The sequence below is a fragment of the Homo sapiens genome, chromosome 3 (genome assembly GCF_000001405.40).
Source record: "Homo sapiens chromosome 3, GRCh38.p14 Primary Assembly".
Lineage (NCBI taxonomy): Eukaryota > Metazoa > Chordata > Mammalia > Primates > Hominidae > Homo > Homo sapiens.
Genome location: NC_000003.12, coordinates 149,888,275 through 149,903,134, shown reverse-complemented (window position 1 = coordinate 149,903,134; position 14,860 = coordinate 149,888,275). Strand labels below are relative to the sequence as shown.

General features: G+C 35.5%; 1 protein-coding gene across 16 annotated transcripts in view; it reads right to left on the bottom strand.

Moving 5' to 3' along the window:
* RNF13 (ring finger protein 13) overlaps positions 1–14,860 on the bottom strand; it is a 149,452-nt gene that overhangs the window by 59,005 nt on the left and 75,587 nt on the right. For 11 of the 16 annotated variants that reach the window (NR_165474.1, XM_047447380.1, XM_011512373.3 and 8 more), the window contains 2 exons: positions 7,575–7,662; positions 973–1,063 (listed from right to left, as the gene is read on the bottom strand). Coding sequence is in view for 15 of the 16 variants with exons in the window: in XM_047447380.1 (XP_047303336.1) it covers positions 973–1,063; positions 7,575–7,662 (179 nt within the window). In the remaining variant the exon portion in view is untranslated. Of the gene's footprint in view, positions 1–972; positions 1,064–7,564; positions 7,663–14,860 lie in introns of all 16 variants that reach the window. The other 5 variants (NM_183383.2, NM_001378288.1, NM_001378289.1 and 2 more) reach the window with 1 other exon arrangement.

Below are 14,860 nucleotides of genomic sequence, written 5' to 3'. Positions count from 1 at the left end.
AAATATCAACACTGTAGTGGGGAACTAACAATAACAGTAAACAGAAAACCTTGCCCTCTTCTTTTTATGCATTTTCAAACAGAAATATTCGTGGATTTCTTTTCCCCCTAAATAATTAGAATTGGATTTCATTGTGCCAGTTACCTCTTCTGGCAAATGTAGATAATAAGTGATAATAATAACAACCACTAGAGGGTTGTTGTGAGGATTAAATGGATAACAAAATGTAGAAGTCTTGCTTTCATGAGTGCCCAGCTTTGCTAAATGCTCAATAAATATTAGCTGCTTTTATTATTATTTTTGTTGTTGTTCCTCTTAGACCAAAGTCTGTTCTGGTCAACTACGTTTTGGGGATCTGTGTGTCATGGAAGAAGTTCTGAAGTGTTTATTGTACCGTTTTCTCTGTTTTCTATATTAGCTGAGACAGCTGTGCCTTAAGTTAATTTCAGTCTGTATGTTATCTTTGTAATGAGATTATTTTGTGGGGGTAGGGGAGAAGAGTTTCATATAAAAGTTCTCATTCAAATCAAGCTTCTAAAACTTGAAAACTGACTTTTTGCCTTTGTAAATGTTAGTCCCTTAACACAATGTTTTGGATTCTGTGTTTATAATATATAAAATATCTTTTTAGTAATATACAAACATTTCTTAATAGAAAATGTCATATAAACATAAATTGCATTGTTTTAAAATACCAGTAGTTTGATTAAACTTCAAAATGAAAAGTTATCTTTTTAGCAACAAGGGTGACTTACTCTCACTAGCATGAATATATTTTCAACATAATCATACAAAGAAAAAGTAGTAAAATACTTTAAAATACTACGTCTTAAAAGCATAATGATTTAAAAAGGGATAATTTAGCACTACAGAGTTCATTCTGAAACATAATCTTGATTACAATATTATATAATTCTACCTTAATATAAAGAAGAATTTTAAGCAACATGATTTTTTATATCCATTACTTACCCTTTTTCATATGTGAATTCATCTTTCAGAGAATTAGCTGATGATTCACCAATAAAGACAGATGGAATGTCAATTTTCTTTAGTACCTCAACTGTATAAAAGAATAATGAAATTATTCTTAAAAGCCCATATTTAGTGTATAATCAACTTTTCTTCATAATAGCAGCAAATGCAACTGGAAACAATTACAATCAACTTTAATTGTCTATTGCTTGATTTTCCAGATTGCAGATTTTATTCATCATCAAAATGGTTGAGAAACATAACATTTACAGTAACAAAGCTAACATTTTGCATATACACATTACCTGAATTCTCTCAATAGTCTATAAGATTGAGATGTAATTTTTATTTTTAATATTTCCATTTGATTTCTTCCTCTCTAGACATAACTTATTAGAGAAGAAAGATGAAGAAATTTTAGGTTTTCTTCCCACACATAACTTAATTCCTAAATGAAAAAGAGAAAAAGCTTCTTTTACATACCCATTTCCAGGAGACGTATAAGCCAGAGAATATAAGAAAAGACAACTTCACAACAATCTAAAAAGTAATACCACACATCTCTGGCTTTCCAGACTGAAAGGCTGACAGGGGTTGAGAAAGGGAATAGGGCAGGAAAGCTGGTTTCTATTTCCTTGTAAGCCTGGCGCTCATGGCAAAGTTTTGTGTTTGATTGGTATCTTAAGATATTTGACTCTTCTACCCATATTCAAAACCAAAATCAAATGCCACCCAAAAAGAATTTCGTCAAAATTACCCATTACTCAGGAATAGAAAGAAAAACAATCCTCTTAATGTTGCTAATAGAAAAAGCAGCCTCATTATTAGCTGTGAGTTAGTTTAACACATTTGGCTTTAGAGAAGGCCCATTTGTTTTCTTTTTATAGTTTTCAAAATAACTTTGTTCTGCATTTTAAAAACAATGCATATTCATTATGCATTTAAAAGGGGGGGAGGCAAGTAAAGAAAAAGAAAACAAAACAAAATCATAATCTTTCCCATCCAAGGACAAATGTTTTATTTAAAGTAATAAGCAGTTCTGTAAGTTGTGACAAATACATACAATTATAACCACAACTACAGTTGGATATAGAATGTTCCATCACCCACCAAAATTCCCTCATACAGTCAACCCCTACCCCCTAAACTTATAAATTACTGATCTATTTTGCTGTTATTGTTTTCATCCTTATAAAGACAAGGTTTAAAATCTTGATATCCTTGGTAGAGTAAGTTTTTTTCACTTCTAGATTGTTTTATGCAAATATAAACGTTCAACTCTCATACATTCTCTCTCTCTCTCACACACACACACACGCACACATGCGCGCACATACACACCAGAAAAAAACATGTAAGCCCCAAAGAGGGCAGAAACAAAAAATATTAGTCAAGAAATATTTAATCACTATTTTTATATCAACATGATCAATAAAATTTTATTTTTTATATCAATGGGATCATATAATTTTTAAAGTGTAAGCTTTTTTTCTACACAATGATACAGCTCAGATATCCTGTTATGTCAATAAATACAGATCTACCTCATCATTTATTTTTATTTTTATTTTTTTAGAGACAGAGTCTCACTATGTTGCTCAGGATGCAGTGCAGTGGCTATTCACAGATGGCACCATTGTGTACTACAGCCTGTAACTCCTGGGCTCAAGTGCCCCTCCTGTCTCAGCCTCCCAAGTAGCTGGGGCTACAGGCATTATTGCATTTTTTTTTTTAATAGATGCAGAGGTATTGTTATAGGACTATATTTTTTTTTATATTTGGGAGATATTTTCTATTTTGCTAAGATATTTTCTCTACCACATATGAGTTTAAAGCTTATTTTATTTGATACTTAAAACTTGGAATTGTATGATGCTTTCTTCTTTCATGAAGATACTATGACAAACTCAAGGAATAACTTTTGGTTTGTAACTACTGGCTAATAATATTGGAAGTAACCTAGCTTCTTTGAATTATGACATCTAAAGAGATGTAGAAAGCTCCTTACTTTAATAAAATGATTAAGAAAAAGGGAGAAAATATTGTAAGCAAATATGAGTAGCCATCTTGAAAATGGCAACATTATCTACTGAAAACAAAACTAAATATGTTTTACTTCACAAAATACTTTTAAAACACTCTATTTTGATCTGTAAAACAACTCTGTGAAGTACATATCGACAAAGATAGATTACAATTTGAATGATCCAGCCCCAAACTCTCCAGATTCGTATATCCAATTGTCCATTCAATATCTCCATTTGATTGCCTAATACATGTTTCAAACAAAGTTTCTCAACTGAACTCTGAATGTCTCTTTTCTCTCAGTCGATCAACTCTGTTTCTCATCTCTGTAAACAGCATAGCCATTCACTTAGTTTCTCAGACTAAACATCTTGGAATCATCCTTGACTCCTCCCTTTCCCTTACTCCCTATACCAAATCCTGTCAGCTTCAAAATATAGCCATATTCCTACCACTTCTCATGACTTTAACTACTAATACTCCAAACCACCATTACTCTTGCCTGGCTGCTGCAGCAGCTTTCTAAATGTTCTCTCTGTTGGCACTTTTGCTCACCTTTCACCTTCAGTGTTCTCTCCAAAGAACAGCAAAGTGCTCCGTTTATGAAATATGTCATATTGCCTTACACAGCTGTTTAAAACTTATTTTTTTTTATTTATTCATTCATTCATTCATTCAATCATTTGGAGACGGAGTCTTGCTCTGTTGCCCAGGCTGGAGTGCAGTGGCACGATCTCGGCTCACTGCACCCTCCGCCTCCCAGGTTCAAGTGATTCTTGTGGTTCAGCCTCTTGAGTAGCTGGGACTACAGGCATGCACGCCACCACACCTGGCTAATTTTTTATATATTTAGTAGAGATGGGGTTTCACAATGTTGCCAAGGTTGGTCTTGAACTCCTAAGCTCAGGCAATCCTCCCGCCTTGGCCTCCCAAAGTGCTAGGATTACAGGCCTGAGCCACTGTGCCCAGCCTAAAACTTATTTAGAATAAATTCCAAAGTCCTTATCATGGCTGACAAGGCCCATCATATTTGACCCCTGGCTCCTTCTCTAACCTTATCCCCCCACTCCCTCCCTTGTTCACTACTCTAGCCATTGTGGCTTTATGCCACACTTTGGAAACACCAAGCATGCTTTATCTTTGAATTGTTGTACTTGTTGTTCCGTCTCCTTGGAATACCCTCCTTCAGAAATCTGCATGACTCAGCCTCTAACTTTAGATCGGTGCTCAAATTGCAATGCCTCACAGAAGCTTTCTCTGACCACCCTATCTAAAATAGCTGCCTTCCTTTCATCTCTGTCATTCTATATCCCCTTATGCTGATATTTTTCTTCATAGCATTTATCACTACTTGACATTATAGCACATCTATTTGATTATGTGTTCATTTCTTCTCTCCTACTCTAGAATGCAATAAAATGATAATAATCACAATAATAATATCTGAACAATCATTAAATGATTGCTAAGAACCAGGAAGTCCTCTAGACACTTAACAGGCCTTAATTCATTCAATCTTCATCGCAACTAAATAACTTAGGTACTATTATTATCCTAATTTCACAGATCAGAAAAACTGAAGCATATAGATATTAGGTAATATACCCAAGGTCATACAGCTACTAGGTGGTAAAGCTGGGATTCAAACCCTAACAAGCAGTACCCGGAAAGTACTCTCTTAAGTACTGCACTCTACTACCTCAATGAAAGATATGAAGGCAGAGCCTCTGACTGCATCATTACTTCCTATAGTCACAGTGCCTAAAACAGTGCAGGGTAGGCTGTCAAAATGCATTTGTTGAAGAAAGAAATCAAAGAAAAAAAGGAAAAAAAAAATGACCCAGAGATATTAACAACTTGACCTGGTTATACAGTTAGATATTTGCACAGTCTGGACTCAAACTGGAGGCTTCTGACTCCTCATCTAGGCTCCTCTCACTCTGCCATTGCATGGGTTTTCTCATATACCTTCTCTCATAAGGTTTTCACAAATTTGTCAGGTCAAATAATTATCAAAATTATTCACACTATTATAGATGAAAATAATGTGCTTATAAAGATTAAGTAACTTTCCTGAGGGCGCAGGTATCTGGTTCACATAACAACTAGCCTGGCTTAGAATAAACACATATTTCCTGGTTCTGAAGTTGGTGTCCTTCCTACCACTTTCTGCTGTCTCCTAAAGATAAAGAATGTTATTGGCTCACTGAATTAATCCATTCTGTTCCTGGCTGAAATAAAAATTGGTATATTCCTTACGTGAAGTGTCAACAGGAAGGGGCTTTTACAACTTCCTTTTGTTTCCAGGCGTTAGTATCTCTGCTTGGTATAAGATACCAGTATTCCTAGGAAAGGCCTTGAAAAGAGGGACAGATACAAGCCTCTTCTGATAAATCTATGCTTTTCTTACCTCTACCAAGTAATAGCAAACATGAAAATGGTAAAGATCTTTACAACATTTGTCTCTGTACATATAAAACGTTTAAACACATGCGCAAAGATGGAGCAAAATATCATAGAAAATAATCTAAGCAACAAAGTCAAGAACCAAAATTCTGAGCAGTCTTTGAACAACAACTCAGTTGAAACATTTCCATGGCAACAGCAGGCTTATATGGTTGTGTGCTACTTTTAATATTGAACATATTTTCTTTAGGAGCTGACATGATTATCACAAAAAGGTTTTACAGTATTACAAAGAAAAAATAAGTGATAAAGGGAACTGACAATTTCAGCCTGCAAAATTTTTACTGAAAACATGTCAAAAGAGTAAATAGTTTACAAATAATAATCAATTTGTTCAATCCAAAACATATTCAGCCCTTGAGAAGGTCCTGAAGGTTTGCTAAATCCTGGGCTTGGGCCTTTAGCAAAACACACAAAGAGTAAGTAACTTGCTCAAAGTTATACAACTGATACAAGTAGGATTTGATTTCGAATTCAGGCCTATCCATTTCCAGACTACGCATGCTTTCCATTTTGCCAGTAAATGTATACAGATCACAAAAGTTACTGACCATGGGATGTATCAACTGGGATAATTTTTTTTAAGAGGGAAATAGTTAAAGGAGAAGTAAAATGTGTCAAATTGGCAGTACTAACATTACCAGTTTATTTGATAAGTAAACTCACTTAAGTAAGTCCTGTAATTCCCATGTAGTAGCTGTCAAACTATTCCTGAAATGCTAAAACTTCTTATGGGTACTTAATGGATTCTACAGTCATGAAGATTTAATTAGCTAGGAGGTTAAAATAATAATTTAAAATATAAAGAAATTAAGAAATGTATTAATAAATTTTACTTTTTACATATTATAATTTTGCCTCACTCTATTAGGGTTAAGAAGGACAAAAATGCCCAGGCACGGTGGCCCACGAATGTAATCCCAGCACTTTGGGAGGCTGAGGTGGGCGGATCACCTGAGGTCGGGAGTTCAAGACCAACCTGACCAACATGGAGAAACTCCATCTCTACTTAAAATACAAAATTAGCCAGGCGTGGTGGCAGGTGCCTGTCATCCCAGCTACTCAGGAGGCTGAGGCAGGAGAATCGCTTGAACCCAGGAGGCAGAGGTTGCGGTGAGCCAACATCGCACCATTGCACTCCAGCCTGGGCAACAAGAGTGAAACTCCATCTCAAAAAAAAAAAAATAAAGAAGAAGGGCAAAAACAAAAACAACAGAAAACACTGTCATAGGCTAAAAGAAGACTTTTTGGTTAAGGAATATAAAATATTTCCTTTTCAGGATGCAGTTATTTAAACTCCTAAATACATTCCAGTGTTTTCTATCAGTCTATAGCTTTATGTCTATACTTTGCTCTACCCTGAAAATATGAATCAATAGGACTTAATAACAAAATATATTATGGTTATGCACTCAAAAGAATAAAATAAATTCTAATCATGAGTGTTGACAGTAAATCATCTTAGTATCAATTAGAAAGGTTTTGATAAAACCCCATAGTGCCCTGAGTAATAGAAACTACATTAAGTGAGGCATACAGCTTCAAAGTCAGTGTCTTATTACAGCCAGTTATGCCACTAAAATTGGCTCGTTTTTCCCTACAAGCTAATAATTAGTAGAGAGTAAAGAAAGACATTCCCATCTGAAATGAAAAACTATGAACATACCAATGTATGACGAAGGGCTAATAACCAACTGGTATAAGGAAGCACAAGTATGTGGCTTTGGAACTCCAGCAGATTATAGCAGCTACTTAGTGTATGTGCATACCCTAAAATAATGCTGTGAATCTCTAAATAAATTACAAAACACCCTCTATGGCATTCTTAACTCAGCATGTTTATCCCTATTAAAGCTGTTTCCCCCATTTTGGTTTTTAACAAAATATCAATAAATAAAACATATATGTTTAAAAAAAAACTGTTCAGAAAAGAAAGTCATTTTCATCTCTACTATGAATAAAATCATCCAGAGTTAAGAATGAGGGATTATCTGATAGAGAAGAAATTTTGCTTTTTAAAAAGAAAATGAGAGAAGGAAAATCCTGTTAATTTTTAGTTACAAATGATCTGTCAAACAGGAGAGAAGAAAAGTGATACCTGTACTTACTGTCGTTGGATCCCATGCTAATGAGGTCATCAGAATCAACATTGTGAACTATGGCTGCCTTGTATCCTGCTCTCTGTGCATTTAAAACCTGCAAAGCAAAAAAAAAAAAAAAAAATTATGTTATAAGGAAGACAGTGGTTTGTCTTTTACAATTGATTATAAAAACTTACTGAAGTAAATAAAAGATGAGGATACAAGCTAAAACATTAAAAGGACTCAAAGCATTAATCTGTTTTGCTCTAAAGAGGTAGAAACTTGCTGTAATCAGGCTTAGGAGTTACCAGACCTTGAGCATTCAATTCCCACCTCTGCCATGAATTAGTGGGATGAACTTGAGCAAATTACTTCTTTTGTAACCCTCAGTTTCCTAACCTCTGAAATGAGAATGACAATATTCTTGTCATATGTAAAATAATATTTTAAAAATGCTTAATACCATGCCTAACACACAGAAATGAGTCAGATAAAACCAATTCATATCACTAGCTTGATCATCCAAAATATTCTGTAAAATTCCTTTACAAAGCTTTTTAAAAACTTAAAAATACCTGCAGGCTGAAGTTGCTTACTCTGGTTCTATCTAGCTATTTGATCTTTCCTAAAGCTAGCCTCCAAAATAGTAACCTTTGTACCATAAGAATATAGTTGGATGTGTGGCAGAATTTTTTTACATGAAAGATCTGGAAAGTGTCAAAACATGTTATTACGTCTCACTTTAAAAATAATATTCTGTTATAAGTAAAAATAAACCCAGACCTAAACTACTTATTGTATGACCTTTAGACTATTAGCAAAAATGAAGGATCAGATAGATCATTATTTGCATATTGGTTGAATAAAATAAAAATTAGGAGGGCAAACATATATATACATAGTTTTGAATACTTGAAATACTTTTGAGTATATATAGTTCTGGATACTAATGATAGTAAGAAACTCTTGAAATACATTACCTTATGAGCATTCCACAATGGTATGTCTCAGAGTGTTTGAGTGTTAAGTGTTTTTAAGAAACAGGCATATTAATTTTTTAGAAGAATTTCCAAGTCTAATATTAGTTCTGTTTTAGTTATCAGCATTATAATGATTCAACACTCTGCTATAATTCAATAAAAATAAAACCTGAGTCATGTTCCAAAGGGCCAGGGAAAGCCCAAAGAGTCAAGTTCCCAAATGTAAAAAGGATGTGCAATTATTCAGACTGGATCTGAAAGCTAGGTAAGAGAAATGAGGTCTACATATTCAATCCCAGTCAGGTCAGTTGACTTGGCACAGAGAAAAATTATCTTCTACATTATTCTTGACTTCTCTAAAACTATCCCACCAATTCAAGTTAGATTTCTGAAAGAGACAACAGTGTGGATAAATCAGAATAATATTATCCTATTACTAAAAAAAACTAAATCTGTAGGAGATATGACTGCCCCAAGAAATTAATACTTTGTTTATCTTATAGCCTCCATAGCACCTATGAAATAGCCTGACACAGGGTAGGCCAGTATTAAATATTACTTGAATCAATTAAACGTACTTTTTAAATGTGTTTAAATTAATAGCTCATATTATAACATTATAAACACAGGAGATAAAATCAGGCAGAAAGTGATTTTTTAAAAAACTAATTAAAATAATATAAATTGTTTGTTGGCACAGGACTTACTGCTCTACTGTAGGAATGGCAAGAAATCACCAGTCAACAAAACTGTGACAAGTATGTTTTAGAGTTGTGCAAAGAAAGGTCAATAATCAAAAAAGTAAGTTTAGCATTTTTGCATATGAGTACATGTTTTATTTTTAGGTGGATTTTGTTATCCAACTATGAATGTTGAGAAAATGCCAGTCCCCCACACCCTCTTCCCCTTAGATATCACTACTTTCCAAAGGGAGGAAAAAAATAATCTCTTAAGAATGTAGTCTATAAACTTTGATTATTTGTTACATACATTAACTTATTATTTCTGCATTATATTACCATGGCAGTACAGACTTCACTTGGCTTTTATTTAAACAAAAGTATACTCAGTTGGGGTTACTATTAGTTTATCTGATGCTTTCATGACCATTTTAACTTTTCCCTAAAAGCTAACCAAGGAGCTGAGGAGAAATGTTTCTTTCCACACCCAAAAAGTAACTGTTGCCAAAGACACAATTTAAGAAATATAAAATTAGACCAATATCAAAAGCTGTTTCCTGCTAATACAAAACTTAAGTTTTAAATTTCTTTTTAAAGCCAACCAAAGCACATAGTCATTGAAATTACATAATTTAACTTTTTTCCCTGAATAAAAATATGTGTGAAGGCAAACATGCAACATGTTAGAACACAGAGAAAAGTGGTCTCAGAAAGCACAACGAGTAAAAACTGTGGCTGAATTCAGCAAGTAGTTTGCTGAGCTTACATAATGAGTAAGATAACTGTATCCATACTAGGCACAATGTGGAACTTGAGGATCAATCAGAAAGTCATTATCCTTAAGGAAATTTCAGTACTCATGGGTAGCCAAACAGGTCAGTTGCTTTCTTGACCCTGTGTAGAACTGGCTTTGTCTTCTGAATGCCTGTCAGTACTTCAAATTCCATTATCTCCATGAAGCTTGCCCTGTCCTGTACCCCTATGCCACATGTACCTATATTAATTGCTCCCTGCTTAGAGTATTTACGTTAATCTATTTATATTTTTCTTCAAGATCTTATATAGTGTCTTATACTTACACATATACATGTCATACCCCAGGGGTCCCCAACCTTTTTGGTACCAGGCACTACTTTTGTGGAAGACAACTTTTCCACCGGGGGAATAGTTTCAGAATGAAACTGTTCCACCTCAGATCATCAGGCATTAGTTAGATTCTCGTAAGAAGTGTGCAACCTAGGTCCCTTGCATGCACAGTTCACAATAGGGTTCACGCTCCTACGAGAATCTAATGCACCACTGATCTGACAGGAGGCAGAGCTCAGGCAGTAATGCTTGCCGGCCCACCGCTCACCTCCTGCCATGCGGCCCATTTCCTAACAGGTACGGGACCACGGCTGGGGGCTTGGGGACCCCTGTACTATCCCAATTCCCCAACAGGTCTCCAGGGGGTCCTTAAATCTGCGGTTGTCTACATATAAACTTTTCTGGAGAGGAGACAAAGTAATAATCTTTCAAGAGGCTTTCTCACTCTCAAATTATTAAGAATCATCTATATACATGAATGGATTTATAACAGTCCACCATGTTTAACTAAATCTAACCATTAGGCTTTTAAAACTGTACCAAGCAACTTAGGAGAAATATGTCTTTCACACATCCAAAATGCACTTGTTTCTATAAATACACTACAAAATTATATCAATATCAAAAGCTGTTCTCTGTTAACATAATAATAAAACTCCTAAAATAGAAACCTTAGGAAACCACTAAAATGGGAAGAAATTCTGTAGGCATAAGTGTGATCTCCAAAAAATAGATGCATGTTTTCAAAAATGTAGCAAGTATGAAGGCTTTCCCAAGGTTTTTGTTGTTGTTTTTATCGATTTTTAAAATAAAGAAATGAAATTAAATCAAAGAACACATTAACATATGGACTAACAGGCTTATGAATACAAACAAGGAAAATACATCCATGTTTATGAACTATAAAACTCATGTGTCAGTCAAATTAAATTACATTTTCAACTAAGCAGCAGCTGGTATTTTTAAGAACACATGAGGCAGAAATAAATGTTAAATCATTTAGTAAGCATTTGCAAAGTTTCCCATTCATAAAATGCAACCTCAAACACATGGTGTCAGATGGAAGCAAAGAACTTAAAGATTCATGAAACAAAGCATGCACAGTGAACAAATCTAAATCCAAAACAGCCACCAAAACTGAAAACTACATTATAAAGCCTTCTAAATTGTATTGGCAATCTGCCTTTTTAAGGAGACTGATCAGAGCTATTAGCCCAAATTGTGGTAAATGCACTGAGTATTTTACATCCAATAAACAAATTACATGCAACTAAATTACATAGACCAGGTGGCACCTAACCAAGAGGTTTAAAGAAATAATGGAACTGTTGGCTTGTTATTATAAATAGCCAGTCTGTCAGAAGATAGCAGACTGCTAATAGAAAAGTCTTCAATAAGACAGGTTCTAAAAGGAACCCTGGGAACAACACAATAATTCATCTTATTTCTAGCCTGAACAAATTTATAATACTGACACTAATAAAACATGCCTTATAATAGAGATGATTATGCTTTTGAGATGATCATGAATAGAGACCTTTTAAAAAGAAATCTCTGTGTGCTAGTGCTTTATACATGTTATCTCTAATATTCAATACAACTCCACAATGTAGATATTCTTTTCTATAGTTTAGAAATGAGGAAAGATAGGTAAGTGTAACTACCCTAAGGTCACACTTAGGCAGAGCTGAGATTTAAACACTGCTTTGTCAGGTTAGATAGAGAAGCATGGGGTTGCCCAATGGATCAGGATGAGGCTCAGGATCATTAACCTTATGTAACATTTTACAAATGTCTAGAAAGAGGAATTGAACTGAGAAAGCATCAAGATGCAGATAACATTAATCTTAAAATCTTGTGGGCAAAATAAAACCTATAAACAAAACAACACAAGCCAAGAAGAAATGTGTTAAAATATTGTGTGAAGAGCTGATAGAAACTTAGAGGGAAAAAGGCTGTGGGATGAAATACCTATGACAGATTTTATAAGACTTGAATTACACCTCAATAAAAACAGGAAATTCTGGTTAACAGTGGGAAAAGGTGGGGATATTTTTTCATATGGGAAGAAGAGAGCTACAACAGGGCAAATGGTATCTTAAAAGACACATTTAAAACAAAACAAAACAAAAAACATAGTGACTTGACTTAAAGAAGAGTGTTACTGAAAGGCAGAATGGCAGATTAGTTAAAAGTACAGACTCTGGGAACTAGACGACCTGGGCTCAAATCCTACTTTTATTAGACATGCAAGTGATTTAATGTCTACATTACTAGTATTACAATATACACATTTATTATTGTTTAATCTGAGGATTAAATAATTTAATATATGAAAAACACTTAAAACAGTGCTTAAACATTACCTGGCACATACTAAGAGTTATGTTTATTGCCATTGCTACTAGTGTTTATTGTTGGACAGTCAGAAGTGAGAAGAGAGAGAAAAAAAAGGACAGACTGTGCAGTACCCTGAAGGCTCTTTAGAAAAGTAGACTTGTGGTCTCCTCAGTCAAGAGTTCACAGTAGGCACTTGAATAAGGGGTTGACATGGCTAAAACACTGCTTTGGAACAATCTGGTAATGATTACATTGACTTGGAAAGGAGAGACTGAAGATTTAGAAGCTTTTATGACAATGCAGGATGACAGCAATGACGTGAAAGAATACTATCTCTTATACTTCATAGCCAATTTTTGAACTTAGGGAACTTGGAGAATGCCTTTGGCCAAAATAGGAAAGCTGAGAAACTTTGTTTTGATAGGAAAGTAGCAGAGACTGGCTTTAAACATACTAAATTTGAGAGGTAGCAAGTTTTCCTAGGTAGGTAGAACACAACAGGTTAGAACTTAAGACAAAAATGTTCAGGCCGGGCGCGATAGCTCATGCCTGTAATCCCAGGACTCTGGGAGGCTGAGGCGGGCAGATCACGAGGTCAGGAGTTCGACCAGTCTGGCCAAGAAATTCGGGACTAGTCTGGCCAACATGGTGAAATCCCATCTCTACTAAAAATACAAAAATCAGCTGGGCACAGTGGTGCACGCCTGTAGTCCTAGCTACTCAGGAGGTTGAGGCAGGAGAATTGCTTGAACCCGGAAGTCAGAGGTTGCAGTGAGCCGAGATCGCACCACTACACTCCAGCCTGGGCGACAGAGCGAGACTCCATCTCAAAAAAAAAAAAAAAAAAATTGTCAGATTTTCAGCAAGTTAATCTATTTATTCATTCAATAAATATTTGGGGCCAAGTGCAGTGGCTCACGCCTTTAATCCCAGCACTTTGGGAGGCTGAGTCGGGCAGATCACGAGGTCAAGAGATAAAGACCATCCTGGCCAACAAGGTGAAACCCCGTCTCTACTAAAAATACAAAAATTAGCTGGGCATGGTGGCACACGCCTGTAGTCCTAGTTACTTGGGAGGTTGAGGCAGGAGAATCGTTTGAATCCAGGAGGTGGAGGTTGCAGTGAGCTGAGATCACGCCACTGCACTCCAGCCTGGGCAACAGAGCAAGACTCCGACACACACACACACACACACACACACACACACACGCACACTCAAATTCAGATTTTCAGCACATTAATCTATTCATTCAATAAATATCTGGGGCCAGGTGCAGTGGCTCACGCCTGTAATCCCAGCACTTTGGGAGGCTGAGTCGGGGGGATCATGAGGTCAAGAGATAAAGACCATCCTGGCCAACATGGTGAAACCCCGTCTCTACTAAAAGTACAAAAATTGGCTGGGCGTGGTGGCACACACCTGTAGTCCCAGCTACTCGGGAGGCTGAGGCAGGAGAATCGCTTGAACCCAGGAGGCGGAGGTTGCAGTGAGCTGAGATCGCGCCACTGGACTTCGGCCTGGGTGACAGAGCAAGACTCCATCTCAAAAAAAGACAAATCTGGCTACCTTGTTGTTTAAAACAAACTTCTAATAAAATGCAATCTATTCACATTGTTACATTTCCTATAATCTTCAATCCTCTTTAACTTCTATATATGAACGAAGTTAAGTGTACTTCATTGTTTCTCTGGGAAGAGATGTTGCAAATAAGCAGACATGTGTATATGTCCAGGCTACACACCTGCAAGAATGGTAAAAATGTAAGAGAGGTGACTTTCCCTGGTGAACAATAACCTTGAAAAGAATCCAGTTATTATATTAGACAGGAGTCTGGATATTCATGTAAAATGATACATACTTAGAACTAGAACATTATTTACTTGAAATACAAATCTGCATTTCAAGTTCTAAAACTTTTATCTGAATTATAGTGCTGTTTTGCACGAAGAGTAATTTGTAATGTTTGAAGAACAGAGAAAAGGCAAGCCCAAAAGCAGGACTACTTCAGACAGACAGAGGATATTCCAGCAACAGCATACATTCATTTCCTGCAAATGCCCAGTGTTTCTGAGAACATCTGTCTTCAGATAATGGGCAAAAGATATCTGATGATAAATAGTAGCTTTTACAAATATACTCTCTTCTAATTTTAATAACATAAATTTTAGTTCACTATTTCAACATTTTTATAAGTACAAATAGATCATTTATTTTAATTGGGAAGTT